The 23,899-nt window shown below is 50.2% G+C and overlaps 1 protein-coding gene and 1 pseudogene across 5 annotated transcripts in view, besides 1 other annotated feature; one reads left to right on the top strand and one right to left on the bottom strand.

The window, feature by feature from the left end:
* The window catches only part of SMIM35 (small integral membrane protein 35), an 83,330-nt gene that overhangs the window by 10,228 nt on the left and 49,203 nt on the right, over positions 1-23,899 (top strand). For 2 of the 5 annotated variants that reach the window (XM_024448283.2, NM_001354434.2), the window contains exon 2: positions 17,468-17,619. The exons of the other annotated variants lie outside the window; for them this stretch is intronic. In XM_024448283.2, coding sequence (XP_024304051.1) covers positions 17,498-17,619 — 122 coding nt within the window. In that variant the 5' untranslated portion in view covers positions 17,468-17,497. The remainder of the gene's footprint in view (positions 1-17,467; positions 17,620-23,899) is intronic. 5 annotated transcript variants of the gene reach the window in all.
* On the bottom strand, positions 9,197-9,498 carry RN7SL828P (RNA, 7SL, cytoplasmic 828, pseudogene; annotated as a pseudogene).
* Positions 11,643-12,144: an enhancer, noted in NCBI's record as "H3K4me1 hESC enhancer chr11:117935307-117935808 (GRCh37/hg19 assembly coordinates)". NCBI's record gives its function as "activates a minimal SCP1, AML or CMV promoter by ChIP-STARR-seq in naive H9 embryonic stem cells {active_cell/tissue: H9 hESC(naive)}" and the evidence as "EXISTENCE:reporter gene assay evidence [ECO:0000049][PMID:30033119]".

Below are 23,899 nucleotides of genomic sequence, written 5' to 3'. Positions count from 1 at the left end.
TGCAGCTCAGTACAAAGAGATCATTGCCAGGTGTGGAGCAATAGGATTGGAAAGTCCACAGAGAAGGAGGGAGTTTCTTCTCTTAGGGAGGTAAGATGTACCCCCTTTCCCTGGATCCCAGAAGTGAAGCTGTCCTGCACAGAGCCAATGTACTAGTGCTTCCTGCCCCTGCCTCAGCAGCCGTTCAATATTCTGAAAATCACTATTGGTGCTCTGGCTAGAGCCCACGTCTCCTCGTCCACGGAGTCATTTCCTTCTTTCTTTCTTTCTTTTTTTCTTTTCTTTTTTTAAGACAGGGTCTCTCTCTGTCCCCCAGGCTGGAGTGCAGGGGCGCAATCTCAGCTCACTGCAACCTCCGCCTCCTAGGTTCAAGCAATTCTCGTGCTCCAGCCTCTCGAGTAGCTGGGACTACAGCCACCTGCCACCACACCCAGCTAAGTTTTGTGTTTTTGTATTTTATTTTATTTTGAGACAGAGTCTCTGTTGCCCAGGCTGGAGTGCAGTGGCGCGATCTTGGCTCACTGCAACCTCCACCTCCCAGGTTCAAGTGATTCTCCTGCCTCAGCCTCCCAAGTAGCTGCTGGGATTACAGGTGTTGTGCGCCACCATGCCTGGCTAATTTGTATTTTTAGTAGAGATGGGGTTTTGCCATGTTGGCCAGGCTGGTCTCAAACACCTGGCTTCAACTGATCCACCTGCCTCAGCCTCCCAAAGTGCTGTGATTATGGCGTGAGCCACCGCACCCAGCCCCACAGGATCATTTCTGATTCACGTTCTGCCACATCCTGATAGCTGGAGCTGCCCCCTGGCCAGGGGATGTGCAAGGTGAAACCTTACAGCCACAGATATTTTGCTGGGAGAGACTTGGATAATTGTCCACATTGTTCCCCCATTCTGTGGGCGACAAAACTAAATTCCAGAGAGGCAAAGTCAATGACCCAAAGTCACATAATGAATTAGTGTCTGGTTCCATATGAATCCAGATCTCCTTCCATTTCTCAGACCTGACCCTCCCAGGAGACCAGCCTGGGTTAGACGTGTGTATTTGTCCTTCTGTTGATAACGTGCTTCTGTGTATCAGCCCTTTAATTCTCCAACAACAACCCCAATATTTTGTTCCCATTTGTCAGCTGAGGAAACTATAGCCTATGGACATGAAGTAGTTTCGGGCAGAGTTGGGGCTGGAACCTGGTTCTCTTACTGGTTCACACTGCCAGGCTTGTGAACAGGCTGAATGGAACACAAGTGTTTGAAAGCCCCAGGTTCATGGTTTGGGATAATATGGCCCATGGAGGACCCCAGTGATGTCTGAGCAGGAGGAATACCGGATCTGTGTAATGGATTATTGGCCAAATCTCAGCTGATGAATGCAGTGTGGCCTTGGACTTGTCTCTGAGCAGCAGAGATCTGAAGCTGGCCTGCAGGGCTCTGGAGCCAGCACAGCCCCAGCCCTTCCTTACTGATGGCTGGTGGCCTTGAGAGTTGGAAGTCTTGGGCAGAGGCAAGAGCCTGTGATCTCAGGTGACCTCAGGGTCAGGGCCGTGATGGTCCAGGCAGGCACCTCCCCAGCAGCAGGGCAGTGAGAAGCCAGTGGGCCACTGGGAGCCACGTTTTCAGTTGTCTTGGTTCCTCTATGTGCCAGGCTAAACATCTGGCCCACAGGTTTGCATTGCTTTACCTGGTGCTCAGGTGATGAACCAGGAAAGAGGCAGCTGTCTGGGCATGAAGGCTGCTGGGCATGGCTGGTTGGAGGGATGATGACTCAGCCCTCCTGGCTTCTGCTCCCATTTGGGTCTGGGAGTTTGTGGAGAGGTCCGGGAAGAAGGCACATAAGCAGGACTGGGCAGGGTGGCTGTGATGCCTGCAGGTGGGGGTGAAGGTTTACAGAGGGAGGCACAGTGGCCTGGAGACAACAGAGGCCCACCTCTCCCAGGTGCCAGGGAAAACCAGCTGGACCAGAACCCACATTCTTTTTTTTTTTTTTTTTCTGAGACAGGGTCCCCCTCTGTTGCCCAGGCTGGAGTGCAGTGGTGCAGCCTCAGCTCACTGTAACCTCCACCTCCTGAGCTCAAGGGATTCCCCCGCCTCAGTCCCCCAAGTAGCTGGGATTACAGGTGTGAGCCACTATGCCTGGCTTATTTTTGTATTTTTTGTAGATACAGGGTTTCACCATGTTGACAAGGCTGGTCTCAAACCCCTGAGCTCAAGCGATCCACTCGCTCTGGTTTCCCAAAGTGCTGGGACTACAAGTGTGAGCCACCGCACCCGGCCCAGAACCCCCATTCTCCCGGAGGAAGCCTCAGCTCTCCCTCAGCCCTGTCCTGCCTGCTTCTTTCTCTTGCCCATCCATCTCTTTAGATCCTCCTCCTGTTTTTCCTCTCTTCTTTCCCTCCCATTACTTCTCTTTTATCTCTTCCTCTTTATTTTTGACATTTTTTTCTCTTCCTTCTTCCCTTTCCTTATCTGTTTCCAGCATGTGTGTCAAGATCCGAGGCAGAGTTATCATGAAACTCCTGAAGCTGAAGCTTCAGAGCCCCTCACTTGCACGGTTCCTTCCAGGGCCCTGGGAAAGGGCCCGGCAATATGTTCACACAATCATACGTTTTTGTAAATTTTGCTGAATATTTCTTTGACGTGCTTTTTCTTCAAGAAAGCCCCTCAAGAAGTGGCCTATCCCTGTGAGTGAAGGCCAGAGCCTTCCTCACCCAGGCTGGTCCCATACAGGTGACCTCAGTTTAAGGACCAACAGGTCTCGTCCAGCTGAGAGCTCTATGCACACCAGATTCTGAGAGGTGTCAGCAGCACTTTAAAAAACTTTGTTGTTTGTTTTCTATGAGGTTTCTGGACAATGGTCTGAGCTCAGACACGTTCTGCAGGAGAATATTATTTCTGTAAAGATGGTTATTTAACCCTCCTCCACCCCATCATGGCGGCGCTGCTGAGGGCTGACCCAGAGGCCAGGGGAACTCGCTGGTGTCCATGGGGGAGGTCCAAGGCCTATTGCCACAGCCCTCCCGCCTTGCACAGCACAGAGGCGGTCACCCCAGGGACAGGCAGGCACCCGGCTGCTCCTGTTGCCCTTCCTGGAGGAGGGGGCTGCCTCCTGTCCCTGCAACTGCTTTCCTTATGGGCCAGCCTGACGCTCAGACTTGTTTGAAGCTGCACCGGCAGCTTTTTTGTCTCTTTTCGGCATTCACAACAGCCGGGGACTTGATCTGGATGTATTTTAAACCACATTAAAGAGTCTGTTGCTTTTTGAAAAAAACCAAGCCCCTCAAAATGCATAAGCTTCAGGCCTCTCAAAACCTGAATCCTCCCTGGTCAAGAGCTTGAGCTCTAGTGGCCTGGGGTCCTGCCTCCTAATCTCAGCCACTAATGATTTGCGTAACCATGGGCATCTTATTTAATCCTCTTGCACGCCATCTTCTTCATCTGTAAAGTGGGGATAACAATACTTCTGACCTCATAGGGTTGTTATGAAGATTAAGAGATAATCCTGGCTGGGCGCAGTGGCTCATGCCTGTATTCCCAGCACTTTGGGAGGTCAAGGCAGGTGGATCACTTGAGGTCAGGAGTTTGAGACCAGCCTGGCCAACATGGCAAAACCTCTATTAAAAATACCAAACTACTCTACTAAAAATACCAAAAAAATTAGCCGGGCGTGGTGGAGGGTGCCTGTAATCCCAGCTACTCAGGAGGTTGAGGCAGGAGAATCGCTTGAACCCAGGTGGAGGTTGCAGTGACCCAAGATCTTGCCACTGCACTCCAGCCTGGGTGACAGAGCGAGACTCCGTCTCAAAAACAACAACGACAACACAAGACCTTCACTTCCATGTGAAGTGTTTGGTGCCTAAGAGAGATGTTGTAAATGGCACTGTTATCCCCATTCATTTCACAAAATGTGTGTTTATGGAGCTCATGCTAGGCCTACCTCTTGTGTTAGGCACTGTGGATTAGGAGATAAAACACAGGCTCTGAATACAAACACCCTACAGTCTACTGAAGGAGACAGGAGACATCCACACATCACAGTAAGCTTAAAAAGATGTTCTAGTAGAGATAAAAAGAGAACACTTGGGGGTTTGGAAACCTTTTTTCATTTTTACAGCTCTCTCTGCTCCCTTCCTCCTTCCTCTCCTCCCTGCCTGATTTCCTTCTTTCTTCCTGCCTTCATTTTTCCCCTAGATATTTTTGCTTAGCTACAGTAATTTGTAGGATGATATATCAATTGCCAGTTGTTTCTTTTTGAGGACGGAGTCTAGCTCTGTCACCCAGGTTGGAGTGCAATGTCACGATCTCCGCTCACTGCAACCTCTGCCTCCCAGGCTCAAGCAATTCTCCTGCCTCAGCCTCCGGAGTAGCTGGGATTACAGGTCTCTGCCATCACACCCAGCTAACTTTTTTCTTTTAGTAGAGACGGGTTTTGCCGTGTTGGCCAGGCTGATCTCGAACTGCTGACCTCAGGTGCTCCACCCACCTTGGCCTCCCAAAGTGCTGGGATTACAGGTGTGAGCCACGGTGCCTGGCTGCCAGTTGTTTCTGATTGTGCATTTGATCTCAGTATCAGCAGTCACCCACTCATCTGTCTATATGTGCCTGGCCATCCATCCACCCATCCATCCAGCCAGCCAGCAAGTATTTTCTATGATGATATCAGACAATGTGGTTAGACACTGTGGTTGGGAAAAATAAAATATCTCCTGCCTTGAAGAGCTCAGTCTGCCCATATACTGCCCTTCCCTTCTAGGAGCTTCTGAGGGCAGCAAGCCCTGTAGATCCTTCCTGCTCAAGGTATGTGTGCCCATGGACCCAGCAATGCCACCAGTGCTGGAAGCTGGTTAGAAGTGCAGAATCTCAGCACGCCCCACTCTTATTCAGTCAGAGTCTGCATTCCAAGATCCCCAGGTGATTTGAATTCACCTTAAAGTTTGAGCAATGCTGTTCTAGGTCTCTTCCCACACTCAGGAGTGGGTAGAGGCTATTATTTCTGAAGTGAGCTGAATTCAGAGACTGGAGCTTGACATAGATGAACCCCTGAGGTTCCTTCCAGCCAGCAGAGCCTATGGTTCTTCCCTTTGAACCCAAGTAAATTGAGATCAGTTTCAGTGACTGGCTCATTTGTTCACATCTCTTCCAAGAAATTAGGTAGAGAAGGGCGCAGTGGGTGGGCATGAGCTGGCAACAGCCCAGGCTCACTCATACCAAGCAGCTCTGGAATGCAGCGTGGAGGGAACCCAGTGTCTTTTTTACAGGGGCCAACAGGAGGCACCTTGGCTCACTGTGAGGGGATGCAAAGCAGGCTCCCTGTTGATTCACTAGCTTTCTGGAAAGGATTTCTACTGCTTAGCAGTCCTTCTCCTAAGACATCATTTAGTCTCAGAGGCGGTTGAATTGAGCCTCAATTATCTGTACCAAAGAATCGAGGCAATTGAAAATCCCAAACCTGGATCCCAACCCTGAGCCCTAGTCACCTCTGTTCAGTGGGAGCTGACCTTCCTCTGGCCCCTGCCAGGATGAACAGGTGTTCCCTTCCACATGCCTGACTTGAGGGTAGGGGTGAGGGGAAGACAGGCATGAGTCTGACAGAATGGCAGGACGCATTTTCTTCAAATAAGCCACACACGGTAAGGAAATAGCTACCATATAATGTGCGCTCCCATGTGCCAGGCTCTTTTGCCTGTGGAAAGAAGTCTCATTGTCTCATTTTGTCTTTGCAGCCACCCTATAACGTGGGTGCTGCTATTACCTCCATTTCACAAGGGAGTAAACTGAGGCTCAGGCAGGGTTGAGATCCAGGTCGGTGTAACCCAGGATGCCTAGGCCTTTTGCCCTAGACCATGCATGGTGGGCCCTGCGTAGATCCTGGAGGGGGCCTACACTGGCTTCTGCAGCCCACTGGGGACCTCTGGGAAGGACTCAGGTTCCTGTAGCACCAGAGTCCTGCCTGGGTTTGCCTCGGTTCCGGTTTCCATATTGTCCGTGTAATTTGCCGGCAGTCTCAGTGAACATCCTGTTCACTCAGTCCTCTCCCCTTTAATTAGGCAATGAACTAATTTCAGATTATTTGTGAGTCCATCCCGTTTCTTTTCATCTGTCTCTCCAGGATACTCTTAATTTCACCCTGGGGCAGCCCAAGGGTTAGAAGACACAGGAAGGACAGTGGAGCTGGGACATACTGCTTTCCATCCTACATGCACTATAAACTCCAGACCATGAACATACAGTGTTTGACAGTGTTTTTAATAAGAATCTGTCTAGAGGCTGGGCACGGTGGCTCACGGCTGTAATCCGGGCACTTTGGGAGGCCGAGGCAGATGGATCACCTGAGGTCAGGAGTTCGAGACCAGCCTGGCCAACAGGGTGAAACCCCGTCTCTACTAAAAATACAAAAATTAGCTGGGCGTGGTGGTAGGTGCCTGTAATCCCAGTTACTGGGGAGCCCGAGGCAGGAGAATCACTTGAACCCGGGAGGCGGAGGCTGCAGTGAGCCGAGGTCGCACCATTGCACTCCAGCCTGGGCAATGAGTGAAACTCCACCTCAAAAAAAAGAAAAGGAAAAAAAAGAATCTGGCTAGAAAGTAAATGGTATAGATTTACTTTATCCCATTTGTTTTTCTCAGTATCCGGATAATGAACAACATATACTTGGAATGACCTCCGTGCATAGCTTTAAATCTTAGCTCTGTTGCCTCCCAGCTGTATTGCCTTGGTGAATGGCATGATCTCGACTCACTGCAACCTCCGCCTTCCTGGTTTGTGTGATTCTCCTGCCTCAACCTCCCGAGTGGCTGGGATTACAGGTGCCTGCCACCACCCCTGGCTAATTTTGTATTTTTAGCAGAGACGGGGTTTTGCCATGTTGACCAGGCTAGTCTCGAACTCCTGACCTCAGGTGATCCACCCGCCTCGGCTTTCCAAAGTGTTGGGATTACAGGCACGAGCCACCGCGCCTGGCCTTGTATGAACTTCTTTCTATCCTTTTATAGGGAACCAGCTCCCAAGATAACAGAATAATACATTCACTGTGCCCTCGTGGCCTAATACCCTCTCCTTAGGCCCTACCTCCCAACACTATTCATTGGAGATTAAGTTTCCGACACATGCTTTTGGGGACACACGCTGAAGCCATGGCAGTATTCTAACTAAAACAGTCTCTAAAGCATATATGAAGCCCCTGTACTGAGCTCCCTGGGAGATCTCTCCTTTATTTATATCTGTGGCACCAGCACAGTGACTGGCAAACGAAAGGTGTGTAAATGTTGGTAGAGTGACTTTGGTTTAAAACATAACTCCTGCCACAGAGGAAGATAATTCTGGCAGTAGTGTGGGGGCGAGGCAGGGAGAGGGGGTTAGAGACAGTGCCAATAGTTCAGGCAAGAGATGGAGAAGATCTTAATTAAGGCCTGGTCTACCGGCATGAAGACGAAGAAAAGGAAGACGAATATTATTTACTGACATTCTACTCTGTGTTGTGCATATATAAGATATCTAATAACCTTGCAAACAAAGTGTTGATGTTCCCATCTTACAGATGAGGGAACTGAGGGGGTGGCCCGATACCTCACAGCCTGTACTTGGCAGGCAGACCCAGAGCACAGGTGCAGTGTGGGATGCTGGGGTGCTGGCATTCACAGATGCTGCTGATGCAGAATAGAGAGGACTGACGGGGGGAAGACCTGGGGATGATTCAGTTTTCCATTAGGGTGATGAGTCAATGGTGGTCCGTTAACAAATGAGTTCTTTGGGTTGAACCTGTTGGAAGAGAGAATGCTTTTAGATCGTCGTGGTTAGGCCTTGCCAAATCCCACGGATGATAATGTATTGATAATGCTGGTGGCTCTGGCTTGACTGAGTGCTTCTGGCCACGGAGTGATGCGTGGGGAGAGACCACGGCTCCTGGATGCCGCTGGGCCTCTGTGGGGTGGCCGAGAATGCAGACACAGTGCCGCCAGGTGGTGGAAGGTCACTCCGCTACCCCGGGTTTCTCGCTTTTCCCAGTAGATTTCATCTGCAGCCTGAAAGGCCAGCAGGAAACAGCGCTGTGAGGTTCCACATGCAGGTACCATCCTGGCTCACCCTCCCTCAGCCTCCCTCCTTCATCCTTGCCCCAGCTCATTCCCCAGGCTGCCTGCAGAGGGGTGGGTTCAGGCTGAGAATGAAAGTTCTTGAAACTGAAATCTTTGGGCCCAGACTGTCTCTTGGCCTCACCCCCGTCTCTGTAAAAGCCTCTCCTTCATCCAACGTTTACGAGCGCCTCTAGTGTGCTGGACACTGAGGACACAAAGATGAATAAGGCGCTGTCCGCAGCTCTTTCACAGGCCGGGAGGGAGACTCGACACAGAGATCGTGCTGTCATCCTGTTGGCAAACTCTAAGAGGAAAGAGCACACAGAGCCGGAGGGCTCCCTCCCCGAGGAGGGAGCATTTGGATTGAGCTTACGGGGAGGAGCAGGACTTTGTCAGGTGGAAAACCAGGGGTGCAATGGGAGGAAGAGCATCCAGTCCAGAGAGGAGGCTGTGTGCGCTGGGGAAATGGTGACTGACCCACAGATACTGAGCATCCTTTCTGTGGCAGCTTGGTGCTGGGACCGGGGAGATGAATCATACATGGCTCCAGTTATGAGAAACTCTTGCAATAGACATTTTCTTTTGAAGGATCTGTACACAGGTAAGGAATTTGGACACAGACCTTATGTACTGGAAGCCCCTAAACTAGAGTTCTTGTACCCAGAAATTATGCAAGACAAACCATTGGGATAGCGAAAAAATAGAGAAACTTCTATTTCTGTGTATTTCTTAACTAAAAACAAAGAAAACAACTAAACTTTTCATATATATATATATATATATATATATATATATATATATATATATATGTTTGTTGTTGTTTTGTGGTTGTTTTTTGAGATGGAGTTTCACTCCTGTTGCCCAAGCTGGAGTGCAATGGCGTGATCTCGGCTCACTGCAACCTCCATCTCCCGGGTTCAAGCGATTCTCCCACCTCAGCCTCCCGAGAAGTTGAACTATAGGCGCACCACCACACCTGGCTAATTTTTTGTATTTTTAGTAGAGACGGGGTTTCACCATCTTGGCCAGGCTGGTCTTGAACTCCTGACCTCAGGTGATCCGCCTGCCTTGGTCTCCCAAAGTGCTGGGATTACAGGCATGAGTCACTGCACCCAGCCAATTTTTTTTTAAGAGACAGGGTATCGCTATGCTGCCCAGGCTGGAGTGCAGTGGCTATTCACAGGCATGATCCTACTACTGATCAGCACGGGAGTTTTGAGGTGCTCCATTTCCCACCTGGGCCAGTTCACCCTACCTTAGGCAACCAGGTGGCCCCCTGCTCCTAAGAGGTCACCATATTGATGCTGAACTTAGTGTGGACACCTGATGAGCATAGCAAACCGAGGCCCAGAACTCAAGTGAGGACTCAAATGATCTTCCTGCCTCAGCCTCCCGAGTAGCTGTGACTACAGGCACGTGCCACCGCACCTGGTGCATTTGTAATATTTAATGTACAGGTTGGCCTCGTGTCTGCACTTGGACCCTGTGTCAATGGCCCACATGTTGTGCGCATCTGCGAGGGTCTGAGGGGGTTAGCATATTGTGACATGTTTACACATGGTCTGTGAAGTGGATTTCTCGGTGATCTCATCTGGTTTTAACTAAATTAATCCTCACACAATGGACAAGGTATTTAGGAAATTTCCTGAAAAGATATCAGGGATTAAGAGAAGGATGCAGGCAAGCACAAGCAAATGGCCAGGCTCTTGCTCCCCTATTCGGAAGGGGCTCCCATTATCTTTCTATCTTGAGTGTAAAATTGTAACAATCTCATTTTACTTGATAGAAACTGGCAAAAAAAAAAATCCAGAATTATCAAGATAATGTTTTGATTTTTTTTTTTTTAAGTCAAGGTCTCACTCTGTCACCCAGGCTGGAGTGCAGTGGCAGGATCACGACTCACTGCAGTCTTGATCTCCTCAGTTCAAGTGATCCTTTTGCCTCCTGAGTAGCTGGGACTCAGGCATGCCACCATGCCCGGCTAAGATAATTTGAAGTATAGTCTCAAGTCTCCTGATGTTAGTACTACTCTGTCTTTCAGGGTGTATTATGCCTTCAGATATTGGCTAGTGATGGTAATGTATGTAAATATAATTTATACATAAATACATATATTAGAGATGTGTGCTAAAATTCTTTTGTTACTGACAGAGATCAAAGAACTTTGGAGACCACAGCTCTAGGTAATAAGGAGCCAGTAGGAGTTTAAGCAGGAGGATGACTTGTTTGTTTTTGTTTTATTTTGAAAGATCATTCTGGTAGCTGTGTGGATGGAGAGCCTGGGGTAGAGAGAATAGTAGGGAACTCATGCAGCGGTCCAGGTGAGAGATGAGATCCCAAACCCAGGGTAGGGCAGCCAGGAGGGCAGAGCAATTTCACATGCACGTTGGACTTGGTGACTGACTAGATTTGGAAAACAAGGGCGAAGAGATCCAATCCCGGGGTATTTCCAGGTGTCTGGGGGATTAGGCAAATAATAGTACCACCTACCAAGGTGGCAAACAGAGGTGGGTTTGGGGAGAAAGGTGAAGAGTCTGGGACTGAACAGTTTGAGTCAGAGGTGCCAGGGAGAGCCCTGGGTGGAGGTCGTACGTCCGGGGGGTCCTGTGGCTGGTTTGGGGCTGCAGCCCCCTCTTCCCCAGCAGGGCCCAGGTGAGCGAGCGGGCTGGGTCATGGTCATGATGAGTAAATCAGGCAGTAATGGTGTCCTCTGTCCAGACCTCCTGATTCTAGCCTGGTCACTGGGTGCTGCATCCCAGGTATCAGACCCTGATTGTTACCAGTGGAGGGTGTCCTGATTCTTTGTGCTTCGAACAAAGAATTGGACAAAACGCACAAAGCAAGAAAATAATGAAGCAACAAAAGCAGAGATTTAATGAAAACAAAAGCACACTCCACAGGGTGGGAGTGGGCTGAACAAGAAGCTCAAGGGACTGGGTACAGAATTTTCTGGGGCTTAAATACCCTCTAGAGGTTTCCCATTGATTACTTAGTGTACACCCTATGTAAATGAAGTAGAGGACCACAATCAGTCTGATTGGTTGTGGAGAGAGACCAACCAGAGATTGAAGTGAAGTTACAAAGTTACACCCTATGCAAATGTCTGATTCGCCTGTGGAAAGTGACCAGAGGCTAAAGTGAAGTTACAAAGTTATACTCCTATGCAAAAGAAAAGTTGGCCAGCGACGGAAGGTGTGAAAGTTGGGGTTTTCCTTTTGATTTAGTTCTAGGAAGTCAGTATGAATTGGCCTTAGGTTCCCTGCCTCCAGGCCCTATTCTCCTGCCTCATGATCACTCTCTATATTTCACTTTTGCAAAACCACTCAAAATGCAGGTACCCTGTCTTCCTCCTCCTGTGAGCCATCATGGACGTGACAAGGCTACCTCTTCACGGTGCTCTAGGCCAAAGCTTTGGGAAAGCCAGATTAGGCTGGGAGTGTCCTTGCTGTAATCGGATGCTGAGATAAGCAAAGTGAAATGCAGTGGAGAAGCAGGTGGGGCAGGGCAGGTTTGGGCGCTGTGCAGCTGCCTAGGCTGGGGAGGGACGGGTGTTTGACCACGCAGAAGGGCTCTACAGGGCCACGCTTTAGGACAGGAATATGCATTCTGGCCTTATCTGGTCATTTCTGAGTTGGGATATCTGGATCACTCCAGGGCAGGGTGTGCTTGACTCAGAGCCCACTCGGGGCTTGACCCAGAGAAGGCTAGCGTTTAATATTAGTGATGAAGGCTGGGCATGGTGGCTCACGCCTGTAATCCCAGCACAATTCCGCCAGGCGGGTATATCGCTTGAGTCTAGAAATATGAGACCAGCTTGGGTGATATAGCGAAACCCTATCTCTACTAAAAATTACAAAAAGTAGCCAGGCGTGGTGGCACATGCCTGTAGTCCCAGCTACTTGGGAGGCTGAGGTAGGAGGATGGCTCGGACCCGGGAAGTAGAGGTTGCAGTGAGCCAAGATCTTGCCACTGCACTCCAGCCTAGGCAACAAAGCGAGAACCTGTCTCAATAATAATAATAATAGTGATGAAAAAAACAACAAAAAATCTCCACCCCTGAAAAAACAGACAAATAACAATAACAAAAGCCAGGCACGATGGCACATGCCTGTAGTCCCAGCTACTCAGGAGGCTGAGGGAAGAGGATATCCTGAGCCCAGGAATTTGAAGCCAGCCTGGGCAACATAGGGAGATTTCTTCTCTTAAAAAGAAAACAAACAAAACCCTTTAGTATTAGTGATGACTCTGAGGATGACACCCAGAACCGCCAACCTGAACCTCCGGTGGGACCTTGGGGTCCATGTGGATGGGGAACACAGTGTATGAAATCAATGGCAGATTGGTGCCTATCTGATCTCCCATTTAAAATTTTTTCTTTGCAAGAGAAAAGAAGAGTGATATAGATTGGTGTGTTAGGAAAAAACTCAAACTCAATTTTCCCCTTGGTTCTCACGCCACAATCATCAACGCAATAGACTTCTGTGACCAAATGCCTGGGGGTTCTCCCCACACACCAGTAAGCAATCATTTCTGCAGCAGACACTGGCTGACACTTCGAGTCAACTCAATTCCCACACTATCTACCAGATAGCAACAGATCCTATGGTTGATGAGGGCTCAGTGCCACAAGACCGCAACTCCCTTCCCACCAGTTACAAATCTAGGCCTCTGGACCTTCTAGCCAATTGTTCTTCATTTGGGGTTCCCACAACTCCCTCATTTGCTGGAGTGACTCAGAGAACTTAGGAGAACACTTACCTTTACAGGTTTACTATAAAGGATATTACGAATGATACAGAAGAAGAGATACGTAGGGTGAGATATGGGGTAAGGGACACGGGGCTTTCATGCCCTCCCGAGTCGGGTCCCCTTCTGGAAACCTCCACCTGTTCAGCTACCTGTCCTTTTTTAGGCTTTTATGGAGACTTCGTTACATAAGCATGATTAATTAAGCCACGGGCCATTGGTGATCAACTTACCCTCCAGCCCCTCTCCCCTCCCCTAAGTTTAGGGGTGGGGCTTAAAACCCAACCTTCTAATCCTGCCTTGGGCTTTCTGGTGATCAGCCCCTGATCTACCTGAAGCCACCTAGGCCCTTCCAGGCCTCAGTCAGCTCATTAGCACACAAAAAGACAACCTTTGGAGTTTCTAAGGACTTTAGGAGTTGTATGCCAGGAAATGGGGCTGAGGACCAAATATATTTACCACAATAGGCAAAAAGATTCAACATGAAGAGGGTAAAGAAGATTTAGAAATAAAGACAGAAAAATGCAGACGAGAGAGACAGTAAACAGAAAGAGTAGAAAGGTAAGCAGAAAATCATCAACTGAAAGAAACAGAAAGAAGAGTAGAAGTGTTATAGGAAAGGGGTCCCCATCCAGACCCCAAGAGGGGGTTCTTGGATCTCACCCAAGAAAGAATTCAGGGCAAGTCTGCGGTGCAAAGGGAAAGCAAGTTTATTAAGAAACTAAAGGAATAAAAGAATGGCTACTCCATAGACAGAGCAGCCCCGAGGGCTGCTGGTTGCCTATTTTTATGGTTATTTCTTGATGATATGCTAAACAAGGGGTGGATTATTCATGCCTCTTCTTTTTAGACCAAATAGGATACCTTCCTGACTTTGCCATGGCATTTGTAAACCGTCTTGGCGCTGGTGGGAGTGCAGCAGTGAGGACGACCAGAGGTCACTCTTGTCGCCATCTTGGTCTTGGTGGGTTTTGGCCAGCTCCTTTACTGCAACCTGTTTTATCAGCAAGGTCTTTATGACCTGTATCATGTGTTGACCTCCTATCTCTTCCTGTGACTTAGAATACCTTAACTGTCTGGGAATGCAGCCCAGTAGGTTTCAGCCTTATTTTACCCAGCTCCTATTCAAGCTGGAATTGCTGTGATTCACATGCCTCTGACAGAATTAAGAGAGAGAGAAAATAAAAGAGGCAACAGAAAAACAGATGGAAGTCAACGAAGAGGCAGAAACTCAGAGACACAAAGAAGGCAAGGGTGCAGGGGTGTGGAGGGAGGGCCAGGAGAGGGTTGGGAGGGATGAAGCCCTTGTCCTGGGTTCCTTCTTTCCCCATCCACATGCCCTGTTCTCCGTTGCAAATGGAAGAAGCCAGAGCCCAAGTGAACCACCTGTCTCCATTGTTGACTCCCAGCTGGTCTTTGAGAAGCATCAGAGGCAGTTGTCACCTTTGCTTTGGCCGGGAAGGAGCCTTCCAGCAGGGCCTGGAGAGGAGCTGGGCTGGCCTGTGGTCTTGGCCCCTGTGAACTGAAGGGAAGCCTGACTTGATGTATTAGCTCAGGGGTGCCTCTCTTGACCCACTTTTGTTTGTTTGTTTTTGAGATGGAGTCTCGCTCTGTTGCCCAGGCTGGGGTGCAATGGCACAGTCTTGGCTCACTGCAACCTCCACCACCAGGGTTCAAGTGATTCTCCTGCCTCGGCCTCCCAAGTAGCTGGGATTACAGGCACTCACCACCACGCCCAGCTAATTTTTGTATTTTTGGTAGAGATGGGATTTCGCCATGTTGGCCAAGCTGGTCTTGAACTCCTGACCTCAGGTGATCCACCTGCCTTGGCCTCCTAAAGGGATGGGATTACAAGGATGAGCCACTGCACCTGGCCCCACTTTCATTTTTGATGAAACAAAATTGGAAGCTTAGTTGGTGGGAGGTCAAGGACCTTCCAATTCCAAGGGGAGACTGAGTTGTAATGAACTTGGACCGAGGCAGTTGGTGGGGTTCTGCCCCATGTGGTAGGTGGCATTGTTACTTACACGCCAATGCTTTTGCTGTGGGCTGCAAAAGTGGGAATCCCTTGAGCAGGGAGGGTTGGTTTTGTGAAGTCAACTCATAATGGGGACAGAGGCTTGATGCTGGCTCTGTCTAGCATCATATCTAGTGAAAGAGTCACCAAAGAGCGGTCCTGGGTGCAGAGGAAATGGGCCCCGTAGATCCAAGCTAATCGGTGTCCAGCAGCCCAGGTCGCAGGAAGGGCTGTGGGGAACATAAGCAGGTTCTGCTTAACAGAGGTTGCCTCTGTGGAGGCCAGCAGGATCTGTGAGGTTTTCCCAGGGCTCAGGTGAAGTATCCCCCACCCCTCCCACTTCCTTTGATCCGACGGTGTTCGTCTGGTAACTTAGTTACTGATTCTGCTTCCCTGGAGCACTAATGCCAAGAAGAAGGTAGCTCCAGCTGGGGACCTGCCACTCTAGTCCCTGAAATAATTTACTACTTAAAAAATGTAATACATTGGCATAAAAGTAGCTAGAAATGCCACTTATTGAGGGAGAACTTGCTAAATGCCTTCTGTGAATCGATCATCCAATCTTTTCAATCTTGTGAGGTGGGCATTATTTTCTCCATTTCACCTACAGGGAAACACTCTCAGAACTGGGGTTTGAAGCTGGGTCTCTCTGCAGCTGAAGCTTGGAGTCTTAATCACCTCCCTTCTTGGAAGAGGCGGGGTTGAAAATGATGCTGGGCTTGCGCCTTGGCCTGTCTATAGCCTCTCAATCACTCCCACTGTGGGTGTCATGTGTCTGTCACGAGTGGCAGTGCAAGGTGTCCCGTTTTGGAACAAGCAGGGCCACGACCATATGCTAGAATGGGTGACTCAGCAGAAGCGGTGCCTCTGGGAGCCTCTGCTGGCCTGGACGCCTCCCACTGGAGTTCCTCAACCTGCAACCAGGACACTGTGATGTGAGGTCACAGGGCTGGAGAGGGGCAGCCTGGAAGTGCTTTCTCTGTCCCTCTCTTACTTATAGATCAAAAAAGGAAAATTAAAAGGGGGCCAGGGTGGGTGTCTGCCTGGGGATCCAAAGGATGAGGGCAGCCATGTGGGAGGGATGATGGGAGTACCCATGTCTGGCTGGTAAGAGAGACTTGGAAGCCAGATTAGAACCAGCATTCCAGGGAACCTGGAGCTGGCAGGGAATTAGAGGAAGGGGTGGCGAGGGGAACAGCCAGAGGGACACCCTGGACTCTGTAGAAGGGGGTCCCAGACAGCCATTTGCAGTTGCTCTCCCAGACCCCCGGGGGTCCAGAGGAACACAGGATGCTAAGCCTAGAAGAAAGGCGGCCAAGGACAGTCTCCCAGGTGAGCATGGCAGCTGTCCCTGGGTTTCCACCACTAAGGCTTCCCAGGGCTGCCTGGCCCCTGTCCTGCCCTCGCTGCCGGCCTGGGAAGAAAAGGCTGAATCGAAACAGACTGCAGCAAAACCCTGACTCATGCCTTCCGATGCCAGTAGACCTGATTTTGTATTTCCCAGCACTTTCATTAGCACCAAGAGCTATTATAATTGCAAGAGGTGTGTGGGGAGGTGGGAGTGGGTGCTCACACTCACAGCATGGGAAGTGGGGCTGAGACTCTTGTCAGGGGAGAAAGACCACAGCCTCCTACCCCATCCCCGTTCACCTGAGAGGTGGTGGGATGGGGAGTGGTCTGGGCTCTGGGCAGAGACTCTAGGCAGGCCACATGGGTGGGGGACCTGGAGGAGAGGCATGTGAGTAGATACGGCTTGAGGGAGCCCCTAGAGCGCGGGAATTGGGTTTTGATAAAGGGACTGGGCTTGGGCACAGCCCTGGCTGCCTCCTGGCACCCCACTCAGACTCCTCTCCTCCTGGGCCCTCACAGGTGGGTCTGCAGGTGTGTCTGCCAGGGCAGTACAGCCTCCACTCACTCCCAGGCTCAAGGCTATGAGATAAAATGCTAATCATTCCCTGCCTCTAGGTTCCTAGCTTGCTTTGGTACTTATCTTCCCTGTCACGGAGGGAGTGGGAGGCCTCTGATCCCTAGGCCGGCGTGGGAGCCGGAATTCTAGACAAGTTTATCCAGTAGGATTGAGCACCTCACCCTGTGTCTCAGATATGGTGGTTTGGAATAGCAGTTTGGGGTTTCATCTGGGCTCAGAGTGAGGCAGGGCTCTGGGATTCCAGGCTGCTTTTCCAGGTAAGGCGGCAAATGAATGGAGGTAGAGCTATGTGGGAAGACCTGCTGAAACTGAAGGATCCTGACGGACCCCAGGGCACCCCAAGGCCTATCAGTTAGTTGCTTGCCTGGGCCCCAGAGCCCCTGTTGCGTGTTGCGTGCTCTTGGGTTTTTAACAACAGCAGCCAACTTGTGTGTCATGCTTCACAGTTGGCAGAGACCTTCCACACATTCTGCACTCTGAGATGTGTCTATGAGGCTGCTCATGTTCCAAGTAAGAGGTGAGCCCTCGGTGAGTGGCAGAGCCCAGACCCCTGCAGGGCTGTGGGCTCCATGCTGGGTGCTCTTCCCTCCTCTCAGCACCTGTGTGAGGAGTGAGGGGCACCACTTCCCCTCCCAGACTGAGAACTGCCCCCACCCCCATGCCTGGGCATCACAGGTGACAGCGTTCTTCATGTGACCTTCCCTCTTCTAGAGACTTCTCACATCGGAGCAGTGTCATGGGATGATATTTACTGTGAATAGGAAGTCCCACGCCCCCCAGGTTATAACTCCTCTACAGGATGGCCGGGAGCTTGAAGATGTTCTCAATCACACACTCTGGCCTCTGCAGAACCTAATGTTGGGGTAGGTGCCGGCAGTGCCTGGTGACTCACACTGAGGCTGTGTGCAGACGCCAGTGTGGGACAAACCCAAGTGTGGAGGAACTGGGATGGTCCCTGTCTCTGGACAAGACCCTGGCCTGGTGGGAGGCCTCCCCCAGCTCTGTCACCACGCTCTGGGGACGTTTCTGATGCATTTGTCGCTTGCCCCTCTTGCCCTTTTTGACCTCTCTCCTGCTTCTCTGTAGTTACCAGCAAAGCCTCAGAAGCACTTGCTGCTTTAGGGATAGGAAGGTGGGGAGAGGCTCTGAAGCTGTGGCTTCCTGTTCTGCAGAAGGACAGCTCCCACCCCATTCCTTCCCCAGGCCCCCCGAGCTGGGCTCTTGGTCATCTCCCAGAGCAGTTTGGCCTGGAGGCAGGACGTGCTCTGCGCCGCAGCCCTCGGGTCCAGATGGGTGCCCTGGGTTTTTGGTTCCCAGTCTGCACTGCCCCTCCTTTGATAGAGAGGCACCTGCCCTGAGTTCCCTGAGGTTCTGATTTTTCTCTTGTGCTTACAACTGGATTTCTGGTTTCGCTTCTACTCCAAGCCTGGTCCCAGGCACGTGCCTCTCACCCTGTGGTTTCGCACCCCATTCCTCGCCCCGTCATTTCTTCTTGTGCCCAGGCTGCAGCTGCTTGCTGGTCCCTCGTCCAAAGCTGCCCACCTGCCCAGGCCTGCGCCCCTCCCGCCTTGGGTCCATGTGCAGCTCTAGCCCCTTCCCCACACTCCTGGCCCTGGGGTGAATACTGAACCTGAGACTGGGATAGGAGGAGAGAAAGCTCAGTGCAAGGAGGGGTGAGCCCAGGAAGAGGAGACAGCCAATTACCGTGGGGGCTGCAGGGAAGTCCTGAGAGGTGTGTGGCAGCCAATGCATGCTCCGCTTCAGGGACCCTGCTCTCCTGGCCCAGCAGAACAGTCCCACAACAGGGTGACCAGCCCCCAGGCCACGGGGACCTGAGACAAATTTTTAAAACAATTACAAAACTTGCTCTAATTAGGCAGGACAATTAATTAGCTGTCAGTATGACCCTATGTCAACTAGGTCACAGGGTCAACAGAGTTTAATCCCCTGCCTGCGGTTACCCTACCCTGCAGCCAGGTATCAAATTATAGGCTTGGATGAACTGGAGATGAATATCATCGTTTACTTTGAACGATAATGTCTGTTTGTGTTTCATTCCACAAAAATTGCCTCTTGGCATCATCAAGCTCAGTCTCTGGTCAGTCATCCTCCAGTCCTGCGCTGCCATCCTTCCAGCCTTTCCACCCTCGTGCCTGCATTCCGCCTGCTGTCTGCCTCATAAAGAATCCCAGCTCCCGACACCTCCAATTTCTCTCATCACACCTCCGATTTCTCTCATTTCATCAGCTCCTTCCTGGCTTTGCTTTCAGCCTCCGAGGCGAATCCCCTCAACATACCACTCACTTGCAAATATAATACCTTCATCCTTGTTCTTCTCCCACACCTGGCCAGCAACACTGCAGCCCTGGGGCAGGCCAGCCATCCACCCACATCACCCCTGCACCTGGGTGCTGAAAAGTCCTTTGGCCACAGAGCAGTGACCACAGCAACGGCACTGCCTCCAGCGCCCAGCGGAGTCTCCCACCCCCAGCAGTGTGTCATCTAGATGCCCACGGTCAGTTCTTTCCCCACAGTGGCTCTGTTCATGTTTCAGAGTCCTCTTCAAGGTCCCCATCAGGACTCCCCTCCCCCAATGCTCTCATCAGATGCTCTGACCTCCTACTGCACAGAGGAAGCAGAGATCCTCAGATAGGAATGCCTCATGTCTTGCCTCTCCTTATCCTTCCCACTCCCATACACATAACTACACCCAGACCCTTCCTGAGTGCACTTTGGTTTCCAGGAAGGTTTGTCTCTATCCCTTCAAAGCCTTCTGAACTCTATTCCTCCTTCTTAAGAGAGCACCAGTTGGCAGTTCCTTCTGCGCCTTCAGTGTCGCCCTTTCTCCAGCAGGTAGCTATGCCCACATCTCCCTTCTTCCAATGCACCGCTTTCCCTTGAGGCTTCCGGCTGCTCTCGCCCTGTGGCCAGACCTTCTTCCTTCCCCTCACCACTCAGCTTGGGGAGTGAGCGGCCAACCTTTGTCACCTCCAGTTCTCATGGAAATGTGTGGCCTGGCTATTTTTCTCCTTTCTTCACCACCTCCTTGCACCTCCATCCACTCTACACCCCTCGGTGGTCTGGCCTCTGCTCCCTTCATTTCACTGGAACTGTGTTTGCAGAGGCCACTGATGACCTCCGTTGCTACTTCTGCAAATGGTGTTAAATGATCTCGCTTGCCTTCTCTGCAGAATTGGCCTGTCTTCCTGGAGCCTTTCTCACACCGTGATTGTCCTTCCCTGTCTGGATCTTCTCCGTCATCTCCACTTTGTATGTTGGTGTTCCCGAGGGGTTCCTCTGTGGCCCTCTCTTTTTCTTGCTTTTATTCTCCTCCTGGGGATTTCATCCCCTTCTGCGATTACACCTATCACCTGGGTGCTGATATCTCCCAAATTCAGCTTTCTGGTCCAGGGGACCCTCCTGAGCTCTAAACCTACATCTCTATTGCCCCATGGACATCTCCTCGTGGGGTCTGGCAGGTACCTTGAGCTCAACAGGACGATGGAACTGCCTTCCTGCATGTCCCCATTTTGATCAGTGGCATTGCCATCCACCCTGTTGCCTAATCAACACCCAGGAGTCACCAGGCCTCCCCTCTCTCCCTAACTTACTACCTCCAATTGATCCCCAGTTCTGCTGACCCTCCCTTCCTGATGTCCTATCCACCTCTCCCCTGTCCCTTGCCCTGGGTCAGGCTCCCATCATCTCTCCAGGATGACCCTTCTGGCTGCCTGGAGGGCCGCCTTAGCCTGGGCTCGCTACTCCCAGCATGTCCCAACCCTGGCCCAAGTGAGCCTCTCAGGGGCCAATAGAATCCCGCCTCTCCTTGAGAAGCGGCAAGACCTCCATGACCTGCCCCATCCACCACTTGATCGTCGGCCACTACCTGGCCACATGGAACCTTAAGGGAACCGTGATCTCTCCTACCTGTCCACCTTCAGCCTAGAGCCTCTTCTTCCTTCACCACCTCCTCTGCTTGGCAACTGACTACTGACCATCCTTCACAATTCATCACAGACCTCACATAGTCCAGGGATGCTTCCTTGGCATCACCCTCAAATCTGGGTTTTGGGATCTCCCCTAGTGCTCTCCAAGCCCCCATGTTTACCTCTTATAGCACAGATTACCTGTCACTGTGTGCTATCTCAGCTCCTCTTTCTCTCCACCAGAGGTCTGCAGCTCTTTCTCCCATTTCCAGATGCCTGGCCTATGTAGGAAAAGAATAGTATATGATTATCGAATCAATAACCAAGGAGGACTTCCTAGAAGAAGCAGCTATTGGGTGGTGTTTTGTAGGCAGACATGAGCTGGTGTGAAGAGGAGGATGAGAATGAATTGCATAGAGTAGAGTCTCCGACTCAGAGTCCTTCAAGAGCCAGGGGAAACTAAGGGAAATGACTAGACATATTTAACAAGTAGTGGGGGACCCCAGGAGAAGACATGCCCCACCAAAAGACATCACATTCAGGTATGAATTCAGCACTGCAGAGGCCAAAAAAGCACAAACAAAGCATGTCTTGGTAGGAGGTGGCAGGGCCGGGGTGGTGGTGGCAGGTGTGGCATAGAGTGAGTAAGGCTGTTGAAATGGAACAGCTGGTGGGGTCCTTAGGAAACCAGGAATAGCGCATGACTTCCTGCAAGATGGGGTCTCTATAGTTCATCCTGACCCTGGCAGAAAATCCGCATATCTTGGAGGCCCTGGAATTTGAGGGATCCACTCAGAGGCTGCCAAACTGGCCTTGGCAGCCACAAACAGGAATGTCATACCAGAGACATGGGAGGCAGGGACGGCCTTCCCTTTTTGGAGCTGATCATAATTCCAAAAGACACAATCCTGAATGTTGAAATCCTGAAAGTTCAAAATCCCAAAAATTAGGCCAGGCGCAGTGGCTCACGCCTGTAACCCCAGCACTTTGGGAGGCTGAGGCAGATGTATCATTTGAGGTCAGGAATTTGAGTCCAGCCCGATCAACTTGGTGAAATCCTGCCTCTACCAAAAAATACAAAAATTAGCCAGGCATGGTGGCGCGCACCTGTAATCCCAGCTTCTCAGGAGGCTGAGGTAGGAGAATCGCTTGAACCTGGGAGGTGGAGGTTGTAGTGAGCAGAGATCGGGCCACTGCACTCCAGCCTGGGTAACAGAACAAAGCTCTGTCTCAAAAAAAAAAAAAAAATCCTGAAAATATAATTCTGGAAAAAATAATGAAAACATTCATTAAAACATATTTATTTACATTTCAAAGGGGATTTATATTGGAAACATATAAAAACACAACAGGACACTTTATAGTGTACATTACACAATAAAATAGGCAGTGATAACATACATATTTTTGCACGCATAAACACTCAGGTAATGACGGTTGCATGGGTATAAGAGTTATGAGCAGATGAACCATGTTCATAAAGAAATAGGTCAAAAAGGGCAAGATGTAAATCCATGGCACCGTGGTTGTTACTTGTGTGCACCCAGCTTTATAACTGGTCATCTGAAACAACAGCATGAGCAACCAAAGTCTCTGGATGAGTTTGATCAAAAACTTCAATGGATCATCACCAAAAATGCAGCTGTCTATCCATGGAGCTGCATTCCAAGCTGCAAGGAGCTGAGATTCCAAGAAAATTTAACTTCACAAAGGCAGATGTACAGAAAGGACATCTCTTTATCTAATGAGAAAATGTCAATGTTTTTCTGTACATGCACAATGCGTCCACACAAAGTTGACATGGTGATAATGCACTTTCAGGGAGCCAAATTTGAAAACAAACAAGCAAACAAACAAACAAAAAAACAAGAACAAACAAAAAAACAAAACAAAAAAATCCCAAAAACCCCCAAAACCCTGCATAAAACAAATTCGAACTCTCTAAAAGTCTATATAACTTATACCTCCAGTCTTGCAAATGATGCAAAGATGAAATACCTAGCATAGGGAATTGTAAAAAATCATGCTGAAAATTTAAAATAGTGAAAAAGGAAGGAAAAAAACAACAAAAAACGATCCTGTGATTGTGATTTTTGGGATTTTAGATGTTAGGGGTTTAGACTTTAGAGATTACAATCTTTCAGGATTTTAACATTTGAGGTTACAGTGTTTGCGATTGTGTCTTGGTCCAACTCCTCTTTTTCCTCTCTGAGACCTTGCAGGCAGATGTGGAGACCACATCACTGTCAGAGGAACAGGGGCTGGGGTGGGGGTCTTTGGGACCTTGAATGAGATGAGTTCTCAAAGCTTCCAGGCTAAAGAATAACATAAATGGTAGGACTTGAGCCTCCAAGTGAATAAGAGCCTTGTAAACACATTGCTTTAGGGAATTAAAGAGCTATGCTGGATGTCCAAGGAAGGCCCCACCCGTTGCCTCTAGTTCTTGGGGGAAGGCAACATTTCAGCCACCAGAGGGCGCTCAGGTTGCAGGAATGGTTTCTCAGGACTGCTGTTTGGAGGAGTTGAATAAGGAATCCAAGGAAGGGTTGCCAGAGCATGGGAGCCATGCAGGTGGGACTCCAGGACTGAAGTCCGACCTTTTCAGTCACTCTGCCATTGTCCCTGGCTGAGGCCATCAGTTAATTCATTTATTCAAGGAACATTTGCCCTGTACCTGGGAGCCCTGAGCTAGTAAGCTTTGTGTGTGTGTGTGTGTGTGTGTGTGTGTGTGTGTGTGTGTGTGTGTTTTAGAGAGTCTTGCTCTGTCACCCAGGCTGGAGTGCAACGGCATGATCTCGGCTCACTGCAACCTCTGCCTCCTGGGTTCAAGCGATTCTCTGGCCTCAGCCTCCCAAGTAGCTGGGATTATAGGCGCCCTGCCAACACGCCTGGCTAAATTTTGTATTTTTAGTCGAGATGGGGGTTTCACCATGTTGGCCAGGCTGGTCTTGAACTCCTGACCTCAGGTAATCCACCCGTCATGGCCTCCCTAAGTGCTGGGATTCCGGGTGTGAGCCACCGGACCCGGCTGTGAGCTAGTAGGCTTTGGAGACACAGAATCAGATAAGCCTGTCTGGACCCTGGAGGAACCACAGCCTAGGCTGGGAGGTGGACCTTCAACAGTGCAGTCCCCTGTGGGGTATTTGTGCTATGACAGAGGGACATGCTGAGCGTGGTGGCAGCACCCAGGATGAAGTGTTGATTCTGTCTGGGACCT

The sequence above is a fragment of the Homo sapiens genome, chromosome 11 (genome assembly GCF_000001405.40).
Source record: "Homo sapiens chromosome 11, GRCh38.p14 Primary Assembly".
In the NCBI taxonomy this organism is placed as follows: Eukaryota; Metazoa; Chordata; class Mammalia; order Primates; family Hominidae; genus Homo; species Homo sapiens.
Note: the sequence above shows the minus strand (reverse complement) of the source record. Positions and strands in the feature narration are given on the sequence as shown.